At 44.2% G+C, this 27073-nt stretch overlaps 1 protein-coding gene, 2 long non-coding RNA genes and 1 pseudogene across 4 annotated transcripts in view, besides 2 other annotated features; 1 reads left to right on the top strand and 3 right to left on the bottom strand.

The window, feature by feature from the left end:
• CBR1-AS1 (CBR1 antisense RNA 1) overlaps positions 1–18000 on the top strand; it is a 56999-nt gene extending 38999 nt beyond the window's left edge. Inside the window, exons 3-4 of the long non-coding RNA NR_040084.1 lie at positions 12675–12761; positions 17157–18000. This is a non-coding gene — a long non-coding RNA (CBR1 antisense RNA 1). The remainder of the gene's footprint in view (positions 1–12674; positions 12762–17156) is intronic.
• Positions 8373–8522: an enhancer, noted in NCBI's record as "active region_18424". NCBI's record gives its function as "activates an Ori minimal core promoter by ATAC-STARR-seq in GM12878 lymphoblastoid cells {active_cell/tissue: GM12878}" and the evidence as "EXISTENCE:reporter gene assay evidence [ECO:0000049][PMID:35858748]".
• CBR1 (carbonyl reductase 1) lies at positions 14478–17618 on the bottom strand. 2 transcript variants are annotated; one of them, NM_001286789.2, is made up of 3 exons: positions 17238–17618; positions 16585–16692; positions 14478–15827 (listed from the first exon to the last, which is right to left on the bottom strand). In NM_001286789.2, the coding sequence occupies exons 1-3, from the start codon at positions 17524–17526 to the stop codon at positions 15703–15705; spliced, it is 522 nt and encodes a 173-aa protein (NP_001273718.1). In that variant the 5' UTR covers positions 17527–17618; the 3' UTR covers positions 14478–15702. The 2 variants fall into 2 exon arrangements, with proteins under 2 accessions (NP_001273718.1, NP_001748.1); NM_001757.4 differs by having other exon boundaries at positions 14478–15196.
• Positions 17313–17562: an enhancer, noted in NCBI's record as "active region_18423". NCBI's record gives its function as "activates an Ori minimal core promoter by ATAC-STARR-seq in GM12878 lymphoblastoid cells {active_cell/tissue: GM12878}" and the evidence as "EXISTENCE:reporter gene assay evidence [ECO:0000049][PMID:35858748]".
• Positions 20990–21097, bottom strand: RNU6-992P (RNA, U6 small nuclear 992, pseudogene; annotated as a pseudogene).
• On the bottom strand, positions 22966–27038 carry SETD4-AS1 (SETD4 antisense RNA 1). The gene is made up of 3 exons (NR_186380.1): positions 27021–27038; positions 24073–24136; positions 22966–23425 (listed from the first exon to the last, which is right to left on the bottom strand). It is a non-coding gene; the product is annotated as an SETD4 antisense RNA 1 (long non-coding RNA).

Genomic DNA, 27073 nt, shown 5'->3' with positions numbered 1-27073 from the left:
CACGCTGGCTGGCAGTAGGATGGAGGCTTGGGTAGGCTGGTACTTGGCATTGCATAAAAAGAGCAACAGATAACACTGTCTTTGTTTGCCGGCCATGATGTCATCTCAACACAGAAAATGACCCAGACCAAGGATACACCCTGGGAACAACTCCAGTGTCCCCGTGTGATGTAGGAGAAGAGTAGGGGACTCTTGGGGGCATGAGCTGTACCACTAGGGGGCTGGCTGAGGCCAAGCCTAATGTGTGCCTTAGTAACTTAAGAAAGGATGGCCGTGGATCAAATCTGAGGCAGAGAATCTCACTCAAAGAAAGACAAAAACCTTAAAGTTACTACATATAAAAATAAGCTAATGAGCACTACTGAATTATGAGAGAATTTACCACTGCTAGACCCGTGGCATTTAGAAATGCTAAAGGGAGTTCTTCAATCTGAAAGAAAAAACATTAATGTGAAAAGAGAAAGCAATTGAAGGTATAAAACCCACAGGTACAATTAAGTACATGGACAAACCCAGAATATTTTAATGCTATAAGTATGGTGTGCGGTCCACTCATCACTCTCATATGAAACCCAAAAGACTATCAAAAAATAATAATAGCAATAGCAACTAGTTAAGAGGTGAAATAAAATATATAAATTGAGACAATTAAAAGTCAAAATGTGTGGGAGGGGATGGAGTTAAAGTGTAAACTTTTTTTTGTTTTTTGTTTCTTTGTGATCTAAGTTGTCATCTCTTTAAAATAACTTGTTCTATCTCTATGAATTTTTTTTTTTTTTTTTTTTTTTGAGACGGAGTCTTGCTCTGTCACCCAGGCTGGAGTGCAATGGCATTATCTTGGCTCACTGCATCCTCTGCCTCCCAGGCTCAAGCGATTCTCCTGCCTCAGCCTCCCGAGCAGCTGGGATTACAGGCACCTGCCATCATGCCCGGCTAATTTTCATATTTTTAGTAGCGATGAGGTTTCACCATGTGGGCCAGGCTGGTCTTCGACTCTTGACCCCGTGATCCACCCACTTCAGCCTCCCAAAGTGCTGGGACTACAGGCAAGAGCCACCACACCTGGCCTCTAAGATGTTTTTTGTAAGTTTCATGGTAATCACAACACAAAAACCTATAATAAATTCACCAGAAATAAACAGCAATGAATTAAAACATATTTCCAGAGGAAATACCTTAACCACAAAGGAAGACAGTGAGAAAAGAAGAGAGGGGTTACAAAACAACCAGAAAACAACCAACATAATGGCAGTAGTATGTTCTTACTTGTCAGTAATGAAACAACATAAATGGACTCAGTTCTCCAATTAAAAGGCATAGAGAGGCTGAATGGATAAAGAAACAAGACCCATATATGCTGCCAACAAGAAACCCACTTTACCTATAAAGACACACATGGACTGAAAGTGTAGGCATGGAAAAAGATATTCCATGCAATTGGAAACCAAAAAACAGCAGGAGTAGCTCCACTTATATCAGATAAAATAGACTACAAATCAAAGACTAAAATGAAACAAAGAAGGTCCCTATGTAATGATAAAAGGATCAATTTGGCGAGAAGATATGAAATAACAATTATAAACGTATATGCAACCAACACTGCAGCCCTCAAGTATATAAAGCAAACATGAATAGATTTAAAGGGAAAGACAGACTGAAATACAATAATAGTAGAAGACTTTTAATGTACAGATTATTCAGATAGAAAATCAAAAAGGAAACATCAGAGTTAAACTACACACTACATCTAATAGGCCTAACTCACAATAGGAGAACATTTCACCCAACTGTTGCAGAATACACATTTTCATCAGTACATAGAACATTCTCCAGAATAGACCATATCTTAGGCCACAAAACAAGTCTGAACACATTCAAAAAAACAGAAATCATATCAAGTATCTTTTCTGACCAAGATGGAAGAAAACTAGACATCAATAACAAGAGGAACTCTGGAAATTACACAAACACATGGAAATTAATACAGGCTGGGCATGGTAGCTCATGCCTGTAATCCCAGCACTTTGGGAGGCCGAGGGGGACAGATTGTCTGAAGTCAGGAGTTCGAGACCAGCCTAGCCAACATGGTGAAACCCCATATCTATTAAAAATACAAAAATTAGCTGGGCGTGGCAGTGGACAAAGGCACTGGCTACTGATTGTAGGATTAGGGATCCTGACGATGAAGAAGCAGGGAAGCCTGAAGAATCCTTGGCAGAGGCCAGCACAGCTGGGACCTGGATTTTAGCTCTAGGTTTTATCCCTAGTCTCTCGTTGGCCCTAGAGAACCTAATTTCTAGGGTTTAAAACTTGAGCCTGGTTGGCATGGAGACCTGGGCTGAGGGAACCCTTGGTGTCTCTGGTATGTGGTGAAGTAGCTGTTAGAGATGGGACCCATGAATGTCAGAATGGTTATCCTTGGATTCTAGTTGGTCTGTGCATTTTTTTCGGGGGGGGTGGGGACTATGGGTACATGCTACCATGTCTGGCTAGTTTTTTTTTTGTTTTTGTCTTTGTTTTTAGAGACGAGGTCTTGCTGTGTTGCCCAGGCTGGTCTTGAACTCCTGGGTTCATACAATCCTTCTGCTTTGGCCTCCCAACAGGGCTAGGATTATAGGTGTGAGCCACACAACACCCAGCCTGGCCTGTGCATCTTGATAGAGCAGCAGCAAATCTGTGCACAGCAAGTTGGTAGTGAGATATCACCTGCTGGGACACTGAAGACTTCTTGCTCAAGCTGAAGCCAGCAGCTGATGAGCTCTGAGTGTGAGTGCTTGATGTTTTCCATCTGAACAGGGAGCAATCTGCCCTTGGCATGGAGTTTCTTGTGAGGGACAACTGCTTGGGAGACTGAGATCTCCCAAAAGCTGGTCTTGATGGCACTGATCTCAAGTGACCCTAAGTATTCAAATCACCTACACAAATTCTGCTATTGAGTAAGTTTGAAGCCCTTGCATACAACTGCTCCTGATTCTGAGGATACAATTACTCCATCCCAGCTGCAATGCTATAACCATAGTGCGTTTTGGATTAAAATGGCAACAGGCTGGATCAAGACTTTTTGGGAGGCCTGGAACTTTGTTCTGAAGCTTCAGTTCATATTGGCCAAAGAGGATTAGGAGTTCTATAATTTTCTTTGTCAGATTTTCCACACCTTGTCATGAGTGGGAGTCCCCACCATTAGGTGGCCTTCATAAGCTGGGTTCAGAAAGTTGTTCTCCAAAATTAGCAACCTGAATCTTGTAGGATATACATTTTTGTAGGCTTGTGGACTGCCTCCTGGATTTGTGCCTTCTGTTTGAATCTTCAGATCTTCCCCCTGTACAGAATAGCATCCCCATACTTGGCTTCCTTCTCCATCTTGAAAACAGAGGTTAATGCATCCATTCCAAGAACTCAAGAATTCTCACTGCATTGTGAGAGTCCCAGAAGCTGTCTTTTCTTTTTTTTTTTTTTTTGAGACGGAGTCTTACTCTGTCACCCAGGTAGTGCATTGGTATGATTTCAGCTCACTGCAACCTCCCCTTCCCGGGTTCAAGTGATTCTCCTGCCTCAGCCTCCTGAGTAGCTGGGATTACAGGCATGCACCACTGTGCCTGGCTGATTTTATTTTATTTATTTATTTTTTGAGACGCAGTCTCACTCTATCGCCCAGGCTAGAGCGCAGTGGTGTCATCCTGGCTCACTGCAACTTCCACCTCCCGGGTTCAAGCGATTCTCCTACCTCAGCCTCCCAAGTAGCTGGAATTATAGGCGTGAGCCACTGCACCCGGCCTAATTTTTGTATTTTTAGTAGAGACAGGGTTTCACCATGTTGGTCAGGATGGTCTCGAACTCCTGATCTCAAGTGACTCACCTGCCTCGGCCTCCCAAAGTACTGGGATTACAGGCGTGAGCCACCATGCCCGCCTCTAGAAGCTGTCTTCTTTTGTGTCTTTCACAATTGTCCAAAGACCAGCCCTGCCAGGGGCCTGTTTGTGTTTCTTGTGGTTGCAGTCCTTTAAGGCCTCTAGCATGAAGTGGAGGCACAGGAGGGACGGCGGGGCTCTAGTTCTCCTGAGCTCAGACATGGGGTTGGGGTGAGGACCAGCACCAGCAGCACTAATGATGTGAGCAGCGATGACGCTTCCAGGCCCCACACCTGTGACCTTGCTACCTCTGGTGCTTCTCCCTGATGTGTTCTTCCTTGACCACCCCCACCAAGCCCTCACCTAGTGAGAAAGCAGGTGATATCACATGGCATAGAGAGATGGGAGTAGTGACTTGAAGAGCTACTCTTTGAGGTTATGTTTTTTGCAAACGTGTGTGTGTGTTTTTGTTTTTTTGTTTGTTTGTGTTTTGCAACACAGTTTCACTCTGTTGCCCAGGCTAGAGTGTAGCAGTGTGATCTCGGCTCACTGCAATCTCCGCCTCCCAGGTTCAAGCAATTCTCATGCCTCAGCCTCCCAAGTAGCTGGGATTACAGGTGTGCCACCAGGCTCCGCTAAGTTTTTGTATTTTTAGTAGAGACAAGATTTTGCCATGTTCGCCAGACTGGTCTTGAACTCCTGACCTCAGGTGATCTACCTGCCTCGGCCTCCCAAAGTGCTGGGATTACAGGCGTGAACCACGGTGCCTGGCCCCAGCAAATGTTATACTAACTTATTGTCATATCTCCAACTTAACATGGTTTTGCATGGATAATTTCAACATGGCCAATGTTTTCAACACTTTCTCTAGCACTACTTGGAGAAGCAACTTACCTCCTTCACTGGCACTGGCTTACTGCAGTTGTGCTTCTGAGTTTTGGGTTGCATGGCAGGATCTTGTTGGAGATTGGGGAAAGTAAGGGAATATGTAATTTGAACAAACAACATCGCTATTCTTAAATTCTCTATCCCAGAATCATTGGCTATAAACAGTAGGAAAGAAAGCAAGTTCAAGGGTATAAAAAGACTTCTTTACTGCTTCCTGAATATTACAGAATGAGCTTTCAAAGACTCATGTAAGACCACCAGAAAAACCTGATTATTAAAAAAAAAAAAAAAAAAAAAAGAAGCTAACTTTATTAGAAACTTACTAAGCAAGGGAGCCACTGGCTGAATAATTCCACCCAATAGACTCCCCCAGGGTCTTGAGCTACGAGGTTTTATGTTTGGATGGTTAGTCATAGGGTGATCTTAGAGCAGAAGTTTATAATTGAGGTTTACATTATGGTTGGTCAGAATTTGTAAACTAGGAGAGGTGCTAACGTTGTTTGTATTTGAACAGTTTATGAGCTTATCTTTCTAAAACATGACTCCACCGAACAAACTGACACTCAAGGTGTTTGAATTTGAACCAATCTATCTGGATTTTAAGTCTGTGGTCTCTATATAATTAATCTGCTTGACAAGTTATAATTTCTTCACTTTTCTATTTCTGAGACATAATTTTTGAATCATATTTCAACCACATCTATGGAAGAGAAAACAACTTTGACTTACAGCACTGGATGGAATATTCATGGTTGGAAGTCACTTCAGTTTCAGTAGATATTAGGTCTTCTTGTTTTTGTCAATAAGATCATTGATAAAATAGCAGCTGTGTGGCAACATTTATGATTCTGTAGAAGTACATGTTTGATCACTGCAACACTGAAGAACTGTTTGGAGTCTACTTCTCAGCCAGGAACCAAATTTGCACAATTTAAGCCAAGAAAGCAGATACTATCTGCTCTGTTTGAAGAGCCCAAAGAACTGGATGTGGGAATATCGACCAGATTACTGAATTTTCTTTTTTTTCTGTTTTTTTTTTGAGACAGAGTCTCAATCTGTTGCCCAGGCTGGAGTGCAATGGTGTGATCTAGGCTCACTGCAAACTTCACCTCCCAGGTTCAAGCGATTCTCCTGCCTCAGCCTCCCAAGGAGCTGGGGCTGCAGTCGTGCACTACACCATCTCTACTTAAAAACAATACAAAATTAGCCAGGTGTTATCTCCTAACTTTTGTATTTTTTTAGTAGAGATGGGGTTCCACTATATTGGACAGGCTGGTCTTGAACGCCTGACCTCAGGTGATTGCCCACCAGGGCCTCCCAAAGTGCTGGAATTACAGGCATGAGCCACCACACCCAGCCCAAATTGCTGAATTTTCTAATGCCTTTATTTCCCAGATCTCTATAATATTAAAGATCATAGAAAAGACTGTAGGATGGAAGTTTAACATTCTCTAAGAAGGTGCCTGTTCTGCCTTGAGAAGGCAGTAGTATGTCTAGAATGACTCTTTTTAACCCACTGTCAATCCAGTCCTGTGAATTTCTTAGGCAAGGAGACCTCTGGCTTTAATCACACTCCCTAGTTCTCTGTCAGTCTCTGAACCAAGACACGTAGGGTTTTTTTGAGCCACTTTTTGGGCCTTCTGTAAAGTGTGAAATAGGTATGCCTGAAGACAGAATAAAGCAGCACGGAATTGTTCCTCAAAGGTTAAGATTTAGGGTTTTAAATTGAAGCTCACATTTTCTTTTCTTTTCTTTTTCTTTTTTTTTTTTTGAGACAGTGTCTTGCTCTGTTGCCTAGGCTGGAGTGCAGGGACATGATCAGAGCTCACTGCAGCCTTAAACTCCCAGGCTCAAGGGATCCTCCTGCCTCAGTCTCCCCAGCAGTTGGGACTACATGTATGTGCCACTATGGCCAGCTAATTTTTAAATTTTTTGTAGAGATGGGATCTCATTATATTGCCCAGGCTGGTCTTGAACTCCTGGCCTCAAGCAATCCTCCTGTCTTGGCCTCCCAGAGTGCAGGGAATATAGGCACGAGTCACCATGCCTGGATTCTTTATCTTGAATTAAGAGATTTGAAGACTTTTTTTTTTTTTTTTTTTTTAATGAGGGGAAATCAATGGGCCAAAGGGACCCAGAGAAATATCAGGAACTTTCCTGATAGTTGGCATCAGCTTATTGGGTTGGCACATCTCTGTCTGATTTGTGGGCAGTAGCCAATAAGCTTTTGTAGCATAAATCCACTATCAGTCACTGGAGGCCACCCAAAGTTCCATTGTTTGCCAAAATACCCCATGATGTTGTGTAATTGTCCTACAGCTTTGACACAAGTCAATACAAGTCTATTCCAGCACCAGACAGTGAAATGCAGACATCAGCACATAGTTCCATAGTCAAGGAGACTAAGCGTAAGTAGAAACCTTCCTTAAAGCATCTGTGTAAAAGCAGAATCTTTTACTTGTACAGTTAGTCCCATATCAGTTGGTTGCTTACAAGCTCTATTAGTAAGTTTGGTTGAAGTGCTAATTTCTATGAAAGGATACCCAAGTTTCATTTTAACGGAGACAGAAAATTCCCACTTTTTTGCATGACGTTATAAAGAGTACTTGGTTTTTGGCCATCTGGCTTGTTATAGTATTTGCCGTTTATACAACCAACTGATTCACTACAAGGGATCAGTACTAATGGAAACTGGGAAATGCTCAAAGGGATGTTGTATCAGTCCATTCTCTCCCTGCTGTAAAGCAATTTCTGAGACTGGGTAACTTACAAATAAAAGAGGTTTAATTGGCTCACAGTTCCACAGGCTGTTCAGGAAGCATGGCTGGGGAGGCCTCAGGAAATTTACAATCGTGGCGGAAGGCAAAGGGGAAGCAGGTACAACTTACATGGCTAGAGTAGAAGGAAGAAAGAAAGGGAGGAGAGGCCGCACACTTTTAAACAGCCAGATCTCATGAGAACTCTATCACGAGACAACACTGGGGGGATGGCGCTAACCCATTCATGGGAACCCGCCCCCATGATCCAATCAGTCCCACGAGGACCCACCTCCAGCACTGGGAGGATTATTGACATGAGATTTGGGTGGGGACATAGATCCAAAACATATCAAATGTGGACATAATTCCAATGGTTGGTTAAATTATGTTTAAGCCATGGAGTCACGAGGGGTAGTACAAAGGCAGTATTAGGAACAGGGGCCCACATGGGTGACATAGTTAGGAGATAACAAGTAGCTATTTGCAATCCAGAACCTTAAACCAGCAGAGAAAGGGAAAAAAAAAAAACAAAAAAAAACAAAGGTAAATAAGGAACGAAAGTAACTAAAAACAAAGGTATGTAAGGAACAAAAACGTGAAGACACGTACAGCAGTCAGTTGTTCTAGGCATTTGAGATCTCGTTCTAATGTCTCGGGAGGTGAATCAGTTTTCTCAGAAATGTTGACTATTTTCAGTGAGCAGCAAAAACTGTGCAGCCGGAGGGCCCTATGTTAAAGGAGGCTCCAGGGGTAAGGCGACAGAGGGCTTCAGGCACGCGGCTGCTGCTGCCACTGCTGCTCTGAGACAAGGTGGATGAGTCTGCTGCCGGATCAAGAAAAAGGTTGTCATAGCTTTTTGCTTCTAGGCTCCAGAGAACTGGGTAAAAATTGGAAGCCCTTCTGTATGAGTGAGCAGAGAGGTTCATAGTTAGCTAAGGCCAGAGTGGGAAGTTGTTGGAGGGTTAATTTCAGTCACAGGATATCTGCTTATGTTCGGGTTTCTGTTTCACTTTCCTAGGGCTGCCATAACACATGATCCGGGCGGGCGTGGTGGCTCATGCCTGTAATCCCAGCACTCTGGGAGGCCAAGGCAGGTGGATCACTTGAGGTCTGGAGTTTGAGACCAGCCTGGCCAACATGGTGAAACCCCGTCTTTACAAAAATACAAAACTTAGCAGGGTGTGGTGGTATGTGTCCGTAATCCCAGCTGCTCCTGAGCTTGAACCCGGGAGGCAGAGGTTTCAGTGAGCCGAGATCGCATCACTGCACTCCAGCCTGGGCAACAGAGCGAGACTTCGTCTCAAAAAACAAAACAAAATGAAACAGATAACCCCAAACTTGGTGACTTACAACGGAGATTTACTCTCATAGTTCTGGAGGCCAGAATTCTGAAATCAAGCTGTCAGTATAGCTGCATTCCCTCCAAAGTCTCTAGAGAGAAATCTTTCCTTGACTCTTCCAGCTTTTGTGGGCTGCAGGCTTTCCTTGGCTTGGGGCTACGGCCACATCCCTCTAATCAACCTGTCTTCATATGCCTGCCTTGTCTCTCTGTTTTGTAAAAAGACACTTGTCATTGATTTAGGGCCCACCCAGATAATCCAGGATGAGCTCAGCTTGAAATCCTTAATTACATTTGCAAAAATCTTTCTTCCAAAGAAAATATTCATAGATTCTGACACATGGACATATCTTCTTGGCAGCCAGCCTTCAATCTATTACTGTTCCCAAAAATGGGAATTCTGGCATAGATGACTGAAAGTTATAGAATTGTGGTGATTACAGAAAAGTTAGGGACTGACTTTCTGCAATAGCTAGTGTGACCCTAAATCTCCTGTGTTGTCTTTTAGTGTCAGGACTGGGCAGTTCCGAATGGTAAATCCTTGTGAGGGATGGACTTCCTGGGATAGTCCATATCCTAAGAAATGTACCTTGTTCTGCCAAAATTATACTTCACAGGGTATAGACACCTTCTCACCTATATTGGGATTATGGAGATCCGAGTAAGTAGCCCAGCTAATGGAAGGCATGGATTCTGACCCCGTGTCATGAACAACTCCTCTTGTACCTCCTTGTGCCTCCGTGTGTCCCACCAGATGCTGCTTTGTTTGCAGCCAAAGTGCCCAGTCCTGTTTATCTGAGACTAACACCTCGTACACATTATAAGTGGTATTGGGACCTGCGTGTACAGAGACGTCAATTCTCGGAATTGTTGCAGCCTGAAGGTGCCTTATGGCTGCAGGCCGGCATGGTTGCTCTGGGCTGTACAGCAGAGCTAAGTTCTGCATTCCAGTGCTGCAACTCGAGGGGCTGAATGTTCCAGAAAGTTTCCTAATGCCCCCACTCCTGGGTCTACCCTTTCCATGAGCTGTGTATTGGGTCATGCCAAGACACATCCCTCTTTTGATCCTAACAGAGCCAAGCAATGGTTTGCAGGGCTAAGAGGTCGGGCTCTCTGAAAGCAAAACTGGATGGTGATGGGTCAGTAGGGGGCCTGAGACAGGTGACAGTTGAATTAAAACTATTTTGGGAGAATCCCAAAGGGAGGAAAACATGTGCCAAGTAATTTTCTTGGATGTGCACCCATCACCCACTGCAAAATGCAGATGTTTGCTTTATCTTAAGATGCAATGAAATTATTTACACACTAAGTGCTTCTCAGGACATACATCCCCTTTCTTAAGAGAAACTGAAACTTAAGAATTAGAGAAAAAAGATGTCCTGTAATTAGACTTCCAGGCATGGGCAGGCAATCTCTGTGTGGTTCCTAGTATGCCCTCAAATGAGAGAGAATGTTTATGAAGCTCCTACTATGCCGTAAGCCATTTATTAGAATGTTTTATCTAATTGTTACATAACCCGTTTGCTAAAAGTGTCTGCATTTTTGTTTTATCCAAAGTCACAGTTAATATGTAAAATATATGGCATCTCCCCATGAAATGTGTACCCACAAAACAAAGGAATTGTCAAAGGTGTGTCAAGGTATAGACGGGCAATTGGATTCCTTCATTCGTCTTCTTCACTGTAACCCACGTGTTTGATCTGAGTGTGTTTGATTAGCGACTCTGAGATTAGCAGAGAGCCACCATCTCATCATGACTCTGCTTTACTCAAGCAGATCTGGCTGAACTGCCTGTGCCCTGCCACCGAGTCCACTTTCTCTATCAAAGTCAAGTTAATAGCTGGGCACCTGCTGGGTGTGGTTCCCTTTATGCCCCAACCAATCTTTCTTTCTTTCCAAAGAGTATTTGAAACTTCACTTTACAGACATAGAGCTATTCAGGTTTTCCATTTCTTCTTCAGTGAGCTTAGTGTTTTTCTAAATATTAATAAATGTGTACATTTTATGTAAGTTGTTAATTCCAATGATTTGAGGTTGTTAGTAAAATGCTCTTTTTTTTTTTAGACAGTCTTACTCTGTTGCCCAGGCTGGAGTGCAGTGGCATGATCTCGGTTCACTGCAATCTCCACCTGGGTTCAAGCGATTCTCCTGCCTCAGCCTCCAGAGTAGCTGGGATTACAGGTGTCTGCCACAATGTCTGGCTAGTTTTTGTATTTCTAGTAGAGATGGGGTTTCACCCTGTTGGCCCGCTGGGCTTGAACTCCTGACCTCAGGTGATCCACCTGCCTCGGCTTCCCAAAGAGCTGGGATTTTAGGTGTGAGCCACTGTGCCCAACCCCTTATTATCTTCTTATTAATCATAATGATGCTACTTCTCATTCCTGACATTGGTAATCTGTGTCTTTCATTTTTTTTTTCTTTTTCTGATCTCTCTGGCTAGAGGTTTAGCACTTTTTGTTTTTCCTCAAGGAACCGGCTTTTGGCTTCATTGATTTTTTTTTTTACCTTTATTGCTCTCTTCTGATTATACTAATTTTTGTTCTGATCTTTATTTCCTTTCATCTGCTCATTTGGGGTTTCATTTGCTCTTATTCTAGTTTCTTACCATGGAAGCTGAGGTCATTGTTTGAGACAGTTCTTTTCTAGTGTAGGCATTACGTAGTATACATTTCCCTCGAAGTACCGCTTTAGTGCCATCCCACAAACATTGATATGTTGTTTTCAGTTTCATTCAGTTCAAAATACTTTTGAATTTAACTTTCAATATCTTTAAAAAATTTTGTTGTTGTTGTTTTCTTAACTTTTGATATCTTTTCGACTAAGGGTGTTTGAAAGTGTATTTTGTTGGTTTCCAACTATTTGGGGATTTTCTAGCCATCTTACTATTGATTTCTAACTTAATTCCAGTGTGGTCGGAGAATATACTTTGTGTGACTCAACTCCTTAGTTTTAAAAGCTGGGAGAGATATTAAAGCATGTTTTTATGCAATGGTAATCTGAGAGGTGAATTTGGTGAAGGAAAGAAAGGGAATAATTACAAGAACAAAATGTTTGGGAGGGCAATAATGGACGAACCAGGACTCTGGTGGGGGTGCTGCCTGGGAAGCAGTGTGCCTCTTCTTGTAACGGAAAGGGGGGCAGGGTGTGCTGTCTGGTTGCAGGTATGTTGAACGACTCTCCTCAGGGGCATCTATTTCTTTTTTAGGGAACAGATTTGAGGACATCCTCCAGCACGATCAGTCTGGGAGATATGCGGAAAGAATAATCATCTTACAGAGTAGGAGAGTGAATTTACTAGGGGAAAAGACAACACTGGCTAGGAGAATTGCTTGTCTGTTTGGGATTGGGGTGGGAACATAAAAGAGTACAGTCAGCCTCTTGTTTCCTTTCTCCCTAGCAACATCATCTGTTAAGAGCTGCTAGAGCAGGCTGGCATGGTTATTAAGCATGGGGATGGGTGTTTTGCCAGACTCACACAACAGAGTGAAGGGTGCTTGCAAGGCAAGACTCGTAGCATTGAACTATGGCCCTGTTCATTCTTTGAGATATTTTGCATCTCTTTCTTAATTGTAGGTAACAGAGGTGCAAGTGCTGTCCTGTCTAGTGGTGACTGAATTGACGTCCTCCTCCCTGTAAAAACACCAGTTTTGTCGTCATTTGCAATTCAGCTCAACATTTGTTGATTCCATATAATCTGTTAGCTTTTCCTTTTAGCTTTTCCTTTGAACCAGTTATAACATTTCCCTGGTTCCCTTATGAGTAAAATACATTTTTTTGACTATTATTTTTACATCTGTATGACAGTCATGATTTTACCTTTTTCTGAAAATTGTATTTTAGCACCATGTACCTATCACCTGGTATAAGAAAGAAATCCTTAGCAATAAAGACGGAACCACGTATGTCCTCCTCCCCTCACCCTCAGAGGTAAGCAGGTACTTGAATTTGGAACAATGCTTTCTCTAAATCTCTTAAAGAAGTTAGGTGTTATTTTTAAGGTATTAAGGGAAAAATATCTTTGCAATACAGGTACAAATTTCTAAACTAGCACTTGAGAATACCAGTTTTGCTGCAGACGTGATTGTTTTCTGGTGTCTGTGTACAAAAACTAGGAAGAAATGAACAGCCCTACTGAAAGGTGAAACTTGTCAAAGTAAACCTCACTTTTAACCTAAGGGACTAGGCTGGGTGCAGTGGCTCATGTCTGTAATCCCAGTACTTTGGGAGGCCGAGGCGGGTGGATCACTTGAGGCCAGAAGTTCGAGATCAGCTTGGCCAACATGGCGAAACCCTGTCTCTACTAAAAATACAAAAGTTAGCCATGCATGGTGGCGGGCGCCTGTAATCCCAGCTACTCAGGAGGCTGAGGCAGGAGAATCACTTGAACCCAGGAGGCAGAGGTTGCACTGAACCAAGATTGAGACTCTGTCTCAATAAACAAACAAACAAACAAACAAATAAATAAATAAATAAATAAAATAAGGGACTCTTCCGAAGCAGTTTGGAGAATTAAAAAATAAATAGATAAAAATAAAATAAGGGGCCTCTCCTTCTTTTCACGGGTGATCGCTTTTTGTTTCTGTAAGCCTTAATTCTCACTGGTGAAGTGTGAGAGATCACAACACTGTGATTCTGTGGAAGAAACAGAATGGCCTGGGCATTTACTGGGTGTTAGACAGTAAACACACACTTCTCATTACCAGCAGGGACAGCGTCAGGCCCATTTACAGGAACTAATGACAGCAGGGGCTGTTCTCAACACTATTTTTTTTTTTTTTTTTGAGATGAAGTCTCACTCTGTCGCCCAGGCTGGAGTGCAGTAGTGCAATCTTGGCTCACTGCAACCTCCACCCCCTGGGTTCAAGCGATTCTCCTGCCTCAGCCTCCTGAGTAGCTGGGATTACAGGCGCCCACCATCACACCCAGCTAATTTGTTCTCAACACTTTATCTCAATACATATAATCCTATGACTGTCATCCCAATTTGACAGTTGAGGAAACAGAGACAAAGCCAGATACAGTATTCTGCCTGAGGTCAGGAATTCAGTGGGCAGAGCCAGAAGTTTCCACTGCCAACCCCCAGGTTTTGAAAGCTTTCAACAAACAGAAAAGTTGTTTTTTTTTTGCCTTACCTGTTCATCAGTCTTTGTATACTTTGCTGAAACACATGTTGTACACCTGGGGCATATGTTGTACACCTCATGACACTTCATCCCTACATAAATAACACATTCCTATGGAGATCTGATAGGTCCCTCATCAGCTCGGTGTTTCACACAAGTGCACACTCACGTTTCACACATAGCAACTGGTTGTTTTTCCCCAATGACTTTGGCTTTTTTAAAGAGACCAGGTCAGCTGCCTTTGCCGTTGTGGTACTATTTGTTTTCCTAGAGGCTGGGAAGGGCCAGAGCCAGCTATGCTCACAGGCTTACATGCTGTCAGCTTTTGTTACATAATGTGGATTTGGGGAGTTCCAATGCATTGTTTGACCTACAACATTGAAAATATTGACTAACTGGCTCTTTCTTTACTTTCTGGGTTTGCTCACCCCCAAGTTGTACTGTCCCTTCCCTTGACCTTTTAGGTTGATTGTACTTGAGACAAAGCTTATTTAGCATCTAAACAATCTGTACAAATGGACACTTATAAAGAACCATTTATTCATCTGTTGATTTTCATTCATTATTTTCATCAATTACAATTTTTCCTCTCCTGCATCAGAGGAAATCACAAAAGACCTGACAGATTTACGTAGTCAACTGAGTGCGTAGGTTGCTCAATTAGTAGTACATTAGTGAGTGCTAATTGATAAGAGATCATTTTTTTTCTTATATAAGGATATTTATGACATTGTAAATGCCCTTTGGACCAACTCAGGACAAGGTACAAAATGGGGCCCATGGATGGAGCTGTGAGCCCAGCTCACCACTGTTCAACTCTCTTCTCTGAAACAAATTGTCCATGGGGACCCTCAGCATCTGGGGGCAAAAGGGCCAAGTACACAGGGGTCTCTGCACCTTCTTCTGGGCTCTTGGTGGCCTTGGGTCCCGCCATGTCAGTTCTCACCCACCCTGGGCAGCAGGCATTCAGGAGGATCTTGTCCCCTTTCCTCTGCTCACTCAGTTTCCTGGCGTGGATCCTGGACAGAACGGTGACGCCAATCTTCGTCACCCCGTATGCGCTGCTGGGCCAGCCCTCCTTCTGGTGCACTCCCTTCTTTGTATCCTCCACAAACTTGTTCATGAGCCCCACCAGCTCCTCCTCAGTGATGGTCTCACTGCGGAACTTCTGCTGCAGCTCTGGGCTGCAGCTTTTAAGGGCTCTGACGCTCATGATGCTAGATACGTTCACCACTCTCCCTAAGATACACCACAAAGCATTATGTAGAAAGGTGTGCAACAATCCCGTAGAGAGGTGAATGCCAAATTTGCAGGGATTTTGGAGCAGAAAATTTTCATATGAGAGACAGTTACTGGTATGAGTTCTAAGAGGAATACGCATAGAAAGTGTGGTGGTAGTTGCATGAAGAAGTTCATTCCTGCCTTCGAATTTTGGCTGAGTAGAGTCAGGTGAGATTTGGAAGAGCTGCCCTTTGAGGTCCTGGTGAACCAGAGCCTTAGAAGTAGCACAACTTAACAGGACGACAGGACAGGGAAACAGGATAAAAGCTGAGAGTAAGCTGTACATGCAAGTACCCAACTCGAAGCCACACATTTAAATTTTTCTAAAAGTGGCTGCTTAATTGCTGTGTTATTTAATGGGTGGGTTCATCTCCTGTCCCATTACTTAGGGTAACTATCACAGCAGTTTACAACCAAAGACATGTGATAGTCATGTCCAGCACCTTCAGCACGTTGAAGGGGAGTTAAAATGGGCCCAGAGTTAAGCAGCGGCAGATTATGGACATCTCTGTGAACCATGCTAAGGGCTTGGACTTTCCTCCTGAAGGATTTTGGGAGAGGCATGACCATGCAGACAGTACGCAGGATGCTGGGAAAGGAAAAGAGGAAAAGACTCAAGACCAGAGGTGCCTTGTGAGGGTTTGCAATTGTCCAGAGGGACAGGTGAGGGCCTGCTGTAGAGCTGCAATGAGACGGATTCAGGAGGAACTCAGTGGGCACAACTCCTAGGACCTAGTAAATGATTATGAGGGGTGGGGCATGGTGACCTGCAGGATCCTGGTGGGTGGGTGGTGGGGTCTGTGTCCCAAACGACTTAGGGAAAAGGATAGGGATCCTCTGGAAATATCTTAGATTGTGGGGAAAGGCATCAGGAAGAGATGGAAAGGCAGCAAGACAACCATGTGGTTGGGAGCTTAAGGAGTGTTTCAGACAGGTGACAGGTATTAGAAGGGCCTAATGAACTGGTGGTAGTAAAGCCTCCACCAGCCTGAATAAGATCTCTCTGAAAGAGCAGAGAAAGGGTACAGGATGGACTCCCACGCAGAGGGGAATGGAGCAAATAAAGAGCATCTCTCAGGAGACGTTTGAGCTAAGACCTGAAGGATGAGAGTCAGCCAGGTGTGCAAAGACCAGTGCGACAGGGAGGACGAATGGCCATGGGAGTGGGAGAAGTGAGGACAAAGTCCTGAGGCAAAATGGCACATATCAGCTGGCAGGAGAAAAAGCACAGAGGTCAGTGCACGTGCAGCATGGAGAGGAAGCAGGAGCCTGCAGGAGAAATCCCAGGCAAGCAGGGGCCAAATCAAGCCCCAAAGAGAAGGTGCGCTGTTTCCCATCAGACTCACCTTGGGGTTTTATTAGAGGGAGTAATTCTGTGCACACATCTCGGGTACCAAAGAAATTTGTTTTCATCGTCACTTCAGCTTGAATATGAAAGGGTGTGGGATCAGCAACTTTTAGGAGAGAAAGAGAACATAGTTAATACATTGTACCCATGGGGTAAAATTCTATACAATGATACTAAAAAAAAAAAAAAAAAAAAAAAAAAACTTAGTGCCCTCTGCCTAAAGTAAGTCTGTATCTGGTTACAGTATTGTGCCAATGTCAATCTCCTGGTTTGATCATGTTCTAGTATTTTTGTAAGATGGCACCATTGGGGGAAGGAGGATGAAGGGTGCACACACTGGATCTTGGCATAACCATTTTTTCTTTTTGCAATTTGTCGTTTATTTTAAAATCAGTTCAAAATCCATCCAGTTGCCTTAAAGCTCAATTCAGAAAAACTGCAGAAAACCTGAAAAAGATCCCCAAGAGTCCCAGCCAGGGAAACACAAAGTTCCCTTTGGCTGGAAAACTCTCACTTTCTCCAAGGTTTCTGCACTCCCTGCATCTCCTAGCTCCTCCCTCTCCTCCCTAGGGAGGCGTTATGGACCCCGCAGACGCCAGGAGCCCCAGTGCATCGGTTCTTCTTCGGGGAGGCCACGTCCCCTCCCCATACCCTTGAAGGCGATGCCCGCGTTGTTGACCAGCACGTCCAGGCCCCCGTACTCCTTGCGCAGGAAGTCGCGCAGGGCGCGGATGCTCTGCAGATCGTCGATGTCCAGCTGGTGGAAGCGCGGGCTCAGGCCCTCCGCCTGCAGCTGCTGTACGGCCGCCTGGCCCCGCGTCACGTCCCGCGCCGTGAGCACCACGTCCCCCGAGAACAGCCGGCACAGGTCGCGCACGATGGCCAAGCCGATGCCCTTGTTGCCTCCAGTCACCAGCGCTACATGGATGCCGGACGACATGGCTGAACGGGGCGCGCGGAACACCTGCGTGGAGAACAGACCTGGCTCAGGCCCGGGAGCCCCGCAGCGTGTTCCAGAGACTGCTCGAGTCTGGCGGTCGTGGGCGCGCACCCGTGGGTTACACGCCCGGCCGCTGAGCGCGCAGGCGCAGGCCCCGCCCTAGCGGGGCGGGGCTGAACCATCCCTACCCCTCCCCACCGGAACCTCGCCGGGGTGCGGAGCAGGCGGAGAGCCAGCTAGCCTGACTTTGCAGAACCCGCAGGCCGAAGACCGAGGCTGGTCTCTAGCTACTGGCTGTTGGCTGCCCACGTGGCAGTGAAGAACCATTCCTAGTGGCCATGTGCCTAGATCTGAACTCACTGCTTGCCCTTGGTTCTCTGAGGGGTTTTCTTCATATTCTCCCAGCTGTTCAATCATTCCTAGTTGTGTTTGAAGAAATAGTACATTTGCATGGTTTTTTTTTCTTTTTTTCCTGGTGTTCTAAAAAAAAAAATACTGCAGGAACTGCAGTCTTTGGAGCTAGAGTTGCAGAAGAAACTGGAAGGAAATAACAGGGCATCAAGTTTTTGTTGATTTTCCCCCTAAGTATATGAAAACAAAGCTACTGACTTAGCCAGATTTTCCAATAATGGTGGGAAACATTCACTAAATCTTTATAAGGTTACTTCTCTGGGCATTTGCAGGGCCATCAGTTTATCTGTGCATAGGTGTAGGGGGTTTCACAGCCCTATTTTACACGGACAATAACACTCTAGGATGTACCTTTTAATCCCCATCTTAAAATGAAGAAACAGGGATCCATCCTCAGAATTTATAACTTAGTTCAGTGGTGGGAAATTGTTAGAGAAATGCCAGGAGTTTGGTCTAGGTCTGGTGGTTCACAGCACAGAAAGCCAGTCACTGAGACCCCATTATTGTCAGGGAAGAAGGCATTATTTGGGTGCTACAGCCTAGGGGGGAGAGATCAGTCTCAAATCCATCTTCTCAACTGATTAAAATTAGGATATAGCAGGGAAGAAATGTAACTGCATGTGGGAAAATAGCAGGAGTTAGGGAGAGATGAAGAGGAGTGGGTCAACAGGCATCAGGCAATTGTTGCAGGTGAGGGGTCTGGTGTCTGATTTTCCAGATGTGGTGATCCGATAAGTTTCAGTTCCTTGGTGCTATCTGGGAGGACTGATGGCTAGTTCCCTGAGAAAGGAACTCAGATAAGACAAATGTAAATTTCTCAAGTTTTTAGACTGGGAGGGTCAATTTGTTTATTCAAAAGAGACCAGGCCTGGCGCGGTGGCTCACGCCTGTAATCTCAGCACTTTGGGAGGCTGAGGTGGGTGGATCATGAGGTCAGGAGTTCAAGACCAGCCTGGCCAAGATGGTGAAACCCCATCTCTACTAAAAAAAAAAAAAAAAAAAAAAAATACAAAAATTAGCTGGGTGTGGTGGCAGGCGCCTGTAATCCCAGCTACTTGGGAGGCTGAAGCAGAGAATTGCTTGCTTGAACCCCAGAGGCGGAGGTTGCAGCGAGCCGAGATCATGCCACTGCACTCCAGCCTGGGCAACAGAGTGACTCCCTCTCAAAAAAAAAAAAAAGGAAAAAAAAAGAGACCATAAACATCTGTCCTATGGGACAATTGCATGGTTTCAAAGTGAGTGTTCCTCCTTCCTACTTACAAGGGAATTGGGAATAAGGTCAAGTTTCATTTCTGTGCTGTCCCATAGGTTGCCACTATCACAGGTGGCCATTTAAACATAAATTCAAATTAAGCAAAATTTGTAATTCAGTTTTTTAGTTGCACTAGCCACATCTCCAGTGCTCAATATGTGCATGTGTTAGTGGTCACTGTATTGGGCAGTACAGATTTAGGATATTTCCATCCTTGCAGAAAGGTCTGTTGAACACCACTGCTTTAAATAGATTGCAATTACATTGCAATTTCAAGGTAGGTTTCCAATCAGTTGCTTTAAAACAAGTTAATAATCAAGGAAAGACCCTTGCTTTTTTTCAACTGAAATTTTTGTCGAGCTAATTATAGAGTCACATGCAGTTGTAAGAAATAATACAGAGATTCCTTACCCTTTACTCAGTTTCACTCAATAGTAACATATTGCAAAAGTATAGTACAACATCACAGTGAAGATATTGACAACAAAACAGTCCACCAATCATACTCAGATTTCCCCAGTTTGATGTGTACTTTGTGTATGTATTTAGTCCTATATAATTTTATCAAATGTTGGTTTGTGTATCCACCACTATAGTTAAATGAAAATGTTTCTATTAGCACAAAGAGCCCTCCTGTTGCACTTTTATCACCAAACATACCTCTCTGTTACTCCCCAAACCAACTCTAATTCATGGCAACCACTAATCTGTTCACCATTTCTACAAGTTTGTTGTTTCAAAAATGTTACATAGATGGAGTCATACAGTTTGTAGTATTTTGTTTTTGGTTTTTTTTTTTCCACTCAGGATAATTCAGAGCTCTGTTTTGGATTTTCTTTCCTATCCCAGTGTGTGCGTGTTGGGTCTGTCATTGGCTGGGTTCTCTCCACTGCACTAGCTACTGTCTTCTGTAGCTGGTGTGAGTTAGTGTTAGAGTGGATGGATTAAATTTATTAAGAGGGCCAGTCAGCAATAGCACATGGTGTACAGGGAACTTTGGACAGGGTGAGGGTCCTGCTGTTTCAAAAGGCAAATCCTATGAGGACTATGAATCATGAGTTTGAGTCTGATTTATTTTTTTAGGACTGGAACCAACATAAGAATTGACAGGTACATTAGGCAGGATGCTCCGGAAAATATATAAAATATATATTAACAAGAATTTACTGTATGATAAAGGTGGTTTAACAACTAGTGAGGGAAAGAATTATTCCAAAATTAGCACTGGGGAAAGGGCATAATGATTGGAAAGAAAAAAGATCCCTTACAACATACACTAAATAATTTCCGAAGAGAGAGAAACAGTGATTTATAAATGAATCCATAAAACAACTAAAAGAAAACAAAAGTAAAAGTTTTATTTTCAGTAGGGGAAAATGCTTTCTTTTATAAGCATAAAAATAGGGGAAGAATCATAAATGTCTGATGGGTTTGACTATGGGAAACTTTTTGAAAATTTGTTTTTGAAAAGCATAATTTAAAGCCTGTGAATTAAGCTCTACTTGGATGGTTTTGTATTGTTGTCTCTCTTACATCTGGGTCTTGATTCTGGTGGTATGTGTGAAGAGCCTCCAATATGTAGCACCTTGTCTGGATTCTGAACAATTTAAGAAATAAAACAGAAATTTAAAGATGGAGTTTCCAGATCTCTGCTATTACTGCTATTGGCTAAATTGGAAGACATGCCTTAGTTGTGAGAATCAAAGGTCTGAGACTATATTGGATGCTATATAGATAAAGAATTTTATCACATCAATTAACCTGTGGAATGAATTCATATCTTTACTACCCACTGTTTTTTTTTTAATGGAACGCTTCATGAATTTGCATGTCATCCTTGCCCAGGCACCATGCTAAATCTTGTCTGTATCATTCCGGTTTTAGTATATGTGCTGCCCAAACGAGCACTACTACCCACTAGTTTAAAGCAACTAAAGAACATAGTTCCCACAAAAAAGAATGGAATCATTTCCTTTGCAGCAACATGGATGCAGCTGGAGGCTATTGTGCAAACGCAGAAACAGAAAACCAAATAACGCATGTTCTCCCTTATAAGTGGGAGCTAAACATTTGAGTACACAGGGACACAAAAGATGGTAACAATAACACCGGGGATTCCAAAAGGGGGAGGGAGGGGGTAAGGGTTGAAAAACGAACTATTGGGTACTATGTTTTCTACTTGGGAGCATTAGATGCCCAAACCTCAGCATCAGGCAATACACTGATGTAACAAACCTGCACATGTACCCCCGAATCTAAAAACAAAAACAAAAACAAAAAAGCCCAAAACACAGTTCCATGGTATATATTAAAAGAAAAGATGTTGGAAAATAATATTGTTAAATTATGAACTGTGAGGTTCTCCAGGTCGTTCCTTTGATTAGTTACCCTCACGGATCTGCTTGACACTGGCTGTGTTCCTCTTGCATTTTATGCTTGTTTAGGATATTCAATAAGCCTTTCTACAGCGGTAGACCATGGACTTTGAGACCTGGAATCAATCTGTGGCTTAGGTGCTTAGTAGTTATTTAACTCAAGCAATTTACTGAATTCTGTGAAAGATAAAGCCAGACACTAAGGTGGTAAGGACAGATTTTAGTCAATAATGAACTCCTGTAATAGGAAAGAGGGTCCAGTGGAAACAAACTTTCATTTGTACAGAGATGACTGTGCCTTTTAAAGGGAGAGTGAAGGATCAGGAAGTGGGAGGAGTTAGGGAAATGACAAATTGCCAAGGGTTGCTCAGTGGAAATGTTGGTTAGGCCAGCTGTGTCTGTTAGCTGGCAATTAGCAAAGTTGGGATTCTATTCTCCCACTATAAAGACTGAAAGACAGAGGCCGTATCATTTCTGATGATTACATTTCAGAGGAATGGCTTTCAGGTCCTTGAGAAAGACATTCTTTCTTTTTTTTTTTTTTTTGACACGGAGTTTCTCTCTTATCTCTCAGGCTGGAGTACAGTGGTGCGATCTCGGCTCACTGCAATCTCTGCCTCCCAGTTTCAAGAGATTCTCCTGCCTCAGCCTCTCGAGTAGCTGGGACTACAAGCGTGTGCTACCACGCACAGCTAACTTTTTGTATTTTTAGTCGACAAAGGGTTTCGCCATGTTGGCCAGGCTGGTCTCGAACTCCTGACCTCAGGTGATCCGCCTGCCTTCACCTCCCAAAGTGCTGGGATTACAGGCGTGAGCCACCACACCTGGCCAAGAAACACTCCTGGGTGGGAGATACATCTCAAAGGGACCGAGAGAATTCACAGCTCTAAGCCGTTTTTAGTAAATGCTTTAAGAAAGGGCAGTCAGGGGCCTATTGTCAGAAGTTGGTTATTACAAACACATTTTTTCTTTTTTTTGGCAGCTTAAACATTCTCAGGAAGGGGCTAGAGTCATCCTAGGGGTGATAGGGTCATCCTAGCCATGCAGCCTTGAGCTGTGTTAAAAAAAAAAAAAAAGAAAAAACCAAAAACAACTCACAATGTATAAATTTAGAAAAGGAGGCCGGACGCGGTGGCTCACGCTTGTAATCCCGGCACTTTGGGAGGCCGAGGCAGGCGGATCACGAGGTCAGGAGATCGAGACCACGGTGAAACCCCGTCTCTACTAAAAATACAAAAAATTAGCCGGGCGTGGTAGTGGGCGCCTGTAGTCCCAGCTACTCGGGAGGCTGAGGCAGGAGAATGGCGTGAACTCGGGAGGCGGAGCTTGCAGTGAGCCGAGATCGCACCACTGCACTCCAGCCTGGGGGACAGAGCAAGATTCCGTCTCTGAAAAAAAAAAAAAAGAAAAGGAGATGGGGACTTTATTTCTTCTAAACGGGTACAACCTGCAAGGTAGCCATCCTGGAGGCTGGGGAGCTGACTCCAGCAGAAACAGAGACGGGCACTTTGAAGGGGGAGGCTTTGAGGCAGGAGCTTTAGACTGAACAGGTTGGCTAAACTTACACATTCAACAGTTTACAGGAGGAGCTGTGAATATTCATGAAGGTGGTCCTGATACATGCATATTGAAGAAACATGCATGTAACATACGACTCATGTATATTCACTTTGGGATGGTGACTTGACATTTAAATGTATTACCATTAGGCCCTATCTGTCAAAAGGTCTTTCAGGACATCAAGGCACGCAAGTACACAGCCTCTGTAAACCAGAACCAGTCCATTCCATAGTCCATGATCTTCTTATCAGGAGAAAGTTGTTGAAATCAGTCTCTTGTCTAATCAAAGCTGTAGTTATGGCTTGTGTGTAAGAGTTAGAGAAAGAGGAAAGAAGCAAAAATGCGTTGGCAGTTAGAGACAGGTCTACTTTAGATGAAACCTGAGAGGCGCTCCTGGCCCATTTTGGTCAGGAGCTCTTTCTCTTACAGACTAAGAGTATGTATTGGTTTTAGGGTAAGGGGGCTTATCACAAGCTTGGAATATTTATGTGTGTGGAGAAGGTCATGGCAGGGTTGGAATCTCTCTGGGAGGAGCGGAGGTTATCTTGGGGCAGACATCTTTCTGGCCTGGAGGGGGGTTATCTTGGGGCCAGCATCTTCCTGGCCTGGAGGGGGCTTTATCTAGGGGCTAGCATGTCTCTGGTCGGGGAGGAGTTTGGAATCTTTCCGGTTGGAGATGTTATTTGTGGTGTGTGTAGGGATGTGGGATTGTTTGGCATCCATGTGGACTGGCGAGAAGAAGCAGAGGGTGTCTGTTTTTGTTCTAGGCATTCCCAGACAAAAGACAGAGACCCAGAATCCTCTTACTAAAGAGGATGGTCAAGTTGAGAAGAAACTGGGCGTCCCCAAGGTTTCCTCTAGCTTAGTTCTGCTGGTCCTCTGAGGACCGGACGGCCAACCTGACTTTTCCCGGGTACCGCGAGAAAGCCAGGGGAGGGCAGATCTTACCAGTTGGCTGGATTAGTGTCCGATGTTGGATGTTCCAGTTGGAATTGGCAAAGGGCCTCTTGGACTGCAGCCGCATGAGGAAGAGAGAGAAAGAAAGAGAGAGAGAGAAGGAAAGAGAGAGAGGGAAAAGAGAGGATGAGGGAAAAGTGAAGTGAGAGAAAAGATGGAGCGGGTGGCCCGAGACCCTCAGGATCCAGAAATTAGCTCAGGACCAGCTGTGGTTGCCCACTGCTTCCTGGGTTGCAAGAGAGCCTCTGCCCCCAGCACCCGGCCTGGGTTTCCGCACCAAATATAAGAGTTCAAGAAAGACGTAAGAACACTAAACGCGGCTGGCAGTTAGAGACAGGTTTACCTTATATGAAACCTGACAGGTGCTCCTGGCCTGTTTCCGTCAGGAACTCTTTCTCTTAGAGACTAAGAGTATGTATTGGTTTTAGGGTGAGGGGGCTTACCACAAGCTTGGAATGTTTATGTGTGTGGAGAAGTTCATGGCAGGGTTGGAATCTCTCTGGGAAGAGGGGAGGTTATTTTGGGGTGGACATCTTTCCAGCCCTGAGGGGTGTTATCTCGGGGCTATCATCTTCCCCACTTCCCAGATGGAACGGGGTTTATCTTGGGGCTACCATGTCTCTGGTCAGGGGGGAATTTAGAATGTTTCTGGTTGAAGATATTATTTGTGATTTATGGTCATGGTGACCTTAGCCATTAGGCTGATGCCCTTTGGATTTAGGCGGTTTTTGTTTTGTTTTGTTTTGTTTTAGCCAGAGTCTTGCTCTGTCGCCCAGGATGGAGTGCAGTAGCGCTACCTCAGCTCACTGCAAGCTCCTCCTCCTGGGTTCATGCCATTCTCCTGCCTCAGCCTCTCAAGTAGCTGGGACTACAGGCGCTTACCACCATGCCCGGGTAATTTTTTGTATTTTTAGTAGAGATGGGGTTTCACCGAATTAGCCAGGATGGTCTCGATCTCCTGACCTCGTGATCTGCCCACCTCGGCCTCCCAAAGTGCTGGGATTACAGGCGTGAGCCACCGCACCTGGCCTAGGCGGTTTTTTATTAAGGTGCACTTTAGAATGAGGGGGTTGTCCAAGATGGTGATGCTCTGTCATTGTGGAACAGGGGGTTAGTTAACATCTGGTGGTGCACAAGCGGTAATTGTTTTAATATTGCTTAGGTGGAGGTGAGTGCTTGTTTAGCTGCTAGAGAAAAAGAAAAAACTTGTAACCATTAGAACAGAATTTATTCTTGAAGTGACTTAACTCTTTCCTGGAATGGCCTTAGGTCTTGTTTATAATTTTTGTATCTTATTGCCACAAAAAGTCTGTTCCATCAGTCTCATGGTCTCTATTTTAACATCAATGCTGGCCAGTTGTATCTAAACTGTAAAAGAGAGAGGGTATAATGAGGCATGTCTGACCTCACATTCCATCAGGGCTGGGAACTAAGTTTCTAAGTTTTTTTCTGGGGCCATCTTGGCCAAAAGGGGTTCCATTCAGTCAGTAGGGGCTTAGGATTTGTTTAGTTTACAGCTGTTAGAAACTATGTTAGTGTTTAAATCTTTTAGTGTTGGGGGGCAGGGGTGAATAAAATCATTTGTGTTTAGAATCTGTAGTTTAAATAGGATTTGTGCTCCGTATGCTGAGCGCCGGTCCACTGGGCCCACTTTTCTTTCTCTATACTTTGCCTCTGTGTCTCTTTTTTTTCTCAGTCTCTCATCCCACCCGATGAGAAACACCCACAGGTGTGGAGCGGCAGGCCACCCCTTCACTATTTACATAGTATTTACATTGTATTAGATGTTATAAGTAATCTAGAGATGATTTAAAGTATATGGGAGGATGTGCATAGGTTATATGCAAATATTACACCATTGTGAAAGTTGCAGAATCAAAATGGAGTCACTTGTGTCAAAACCCTGATAAATGCAGCTGGGGAAGGCCTTGAAGGAAGGGTTCTCATGCACTACGCCTCATAACAAGAATTGTCACAAAAGACCCTAACCTTGCAGAAAGGCCCAATCTTAAACACAGAAAATCCTTCTGCAAGGACATCTGTCCAGCAACTTTGGACTGATGCTACCTTTGTTATTCATTCTTTTAGCCAAAGATAATTGATTTAAAGCAATTCATATAATCTTCATTTTCCTTTTAAAAACATCTCCTTGCCTCAACCTCCCCCAAAACGCACACAGTTTACTATGGCATGCATATTCCCATTGCAATGCTACTCCCAGATAAATCTCATTTTCTTTTAGGGAGCCTCTTTTGTTACTTAGGTTTACACCATTGTATACAAGGGACTTGAGCATTCTAATTCTGGTATCCGCAGGGTCCTGGAACCATTCCCCCACGGACACTAAGGGACAACTGTACTTGTTTTTCATGACAGAAAACATGTTTAGGAGTACTAATTTTTTTTCCCCCATAGAAGATTTCCATAGAAGGGTTTTGGAGAGAGACACCACAGGAACATGCTATCAGCATGATTTCTTCCTGATGTTATCCTTGACCACCCGGTAAGGTACTGTTTGCCAGGTTTCTCCACTGTAGTCCCCAACACCATTCCAGGCTGTACTCTTTGGAATCAAGTTACTAGGCATAGCCCATAATCAAAGTGGGGGTGGGTGGGGCAGAAATCGAGCTCCCGCTATTGGAAGAAGGGGTATTTAGATATATTATTTAGAATTTTCCTGTGAGGCGGGTCCTGGGGCCAGAATGAAACGGTGGAATGGGGGCGGGGATTGGCGAGCAAAGTGACTCGACCCGGCAAACCCAGCCTGGCAGGAAAGCCCGAGGTCTGGGCGAACAGGGCCGCGCGCCCTAGGTGGTTTAACTTCGTAAGGAAAGACTCCGCAGGCCGGCTTTTCAGTGCGCAGCTTGCTCGCCTGCGGGTTACTGGGTTTTCTGACCCCTGACTCGACGTAGGGGTTATGGGGCTGTGGGTGTGCCGACCTCGTCCCCGACTGTACTGGGCGTTGGCGGCGAGTCCGCGAACACTGCGCATG

The sequence above is a fragment of the Homo sapiens genome, chromosome 21, assembly GCF_000001405.40.
Source record: "Homo sapiens chromosome 21, GRCh38.p14 Primary Assembly".
Lineage (NCBI taxonomy): Eukaryota > Metazoa > Chordata > Mammalia > Primates > Hominidae > Homo > Homo sapiens.
This window is presented reverse-complemented; position numbering and strand designations above follow the sequence as displayed.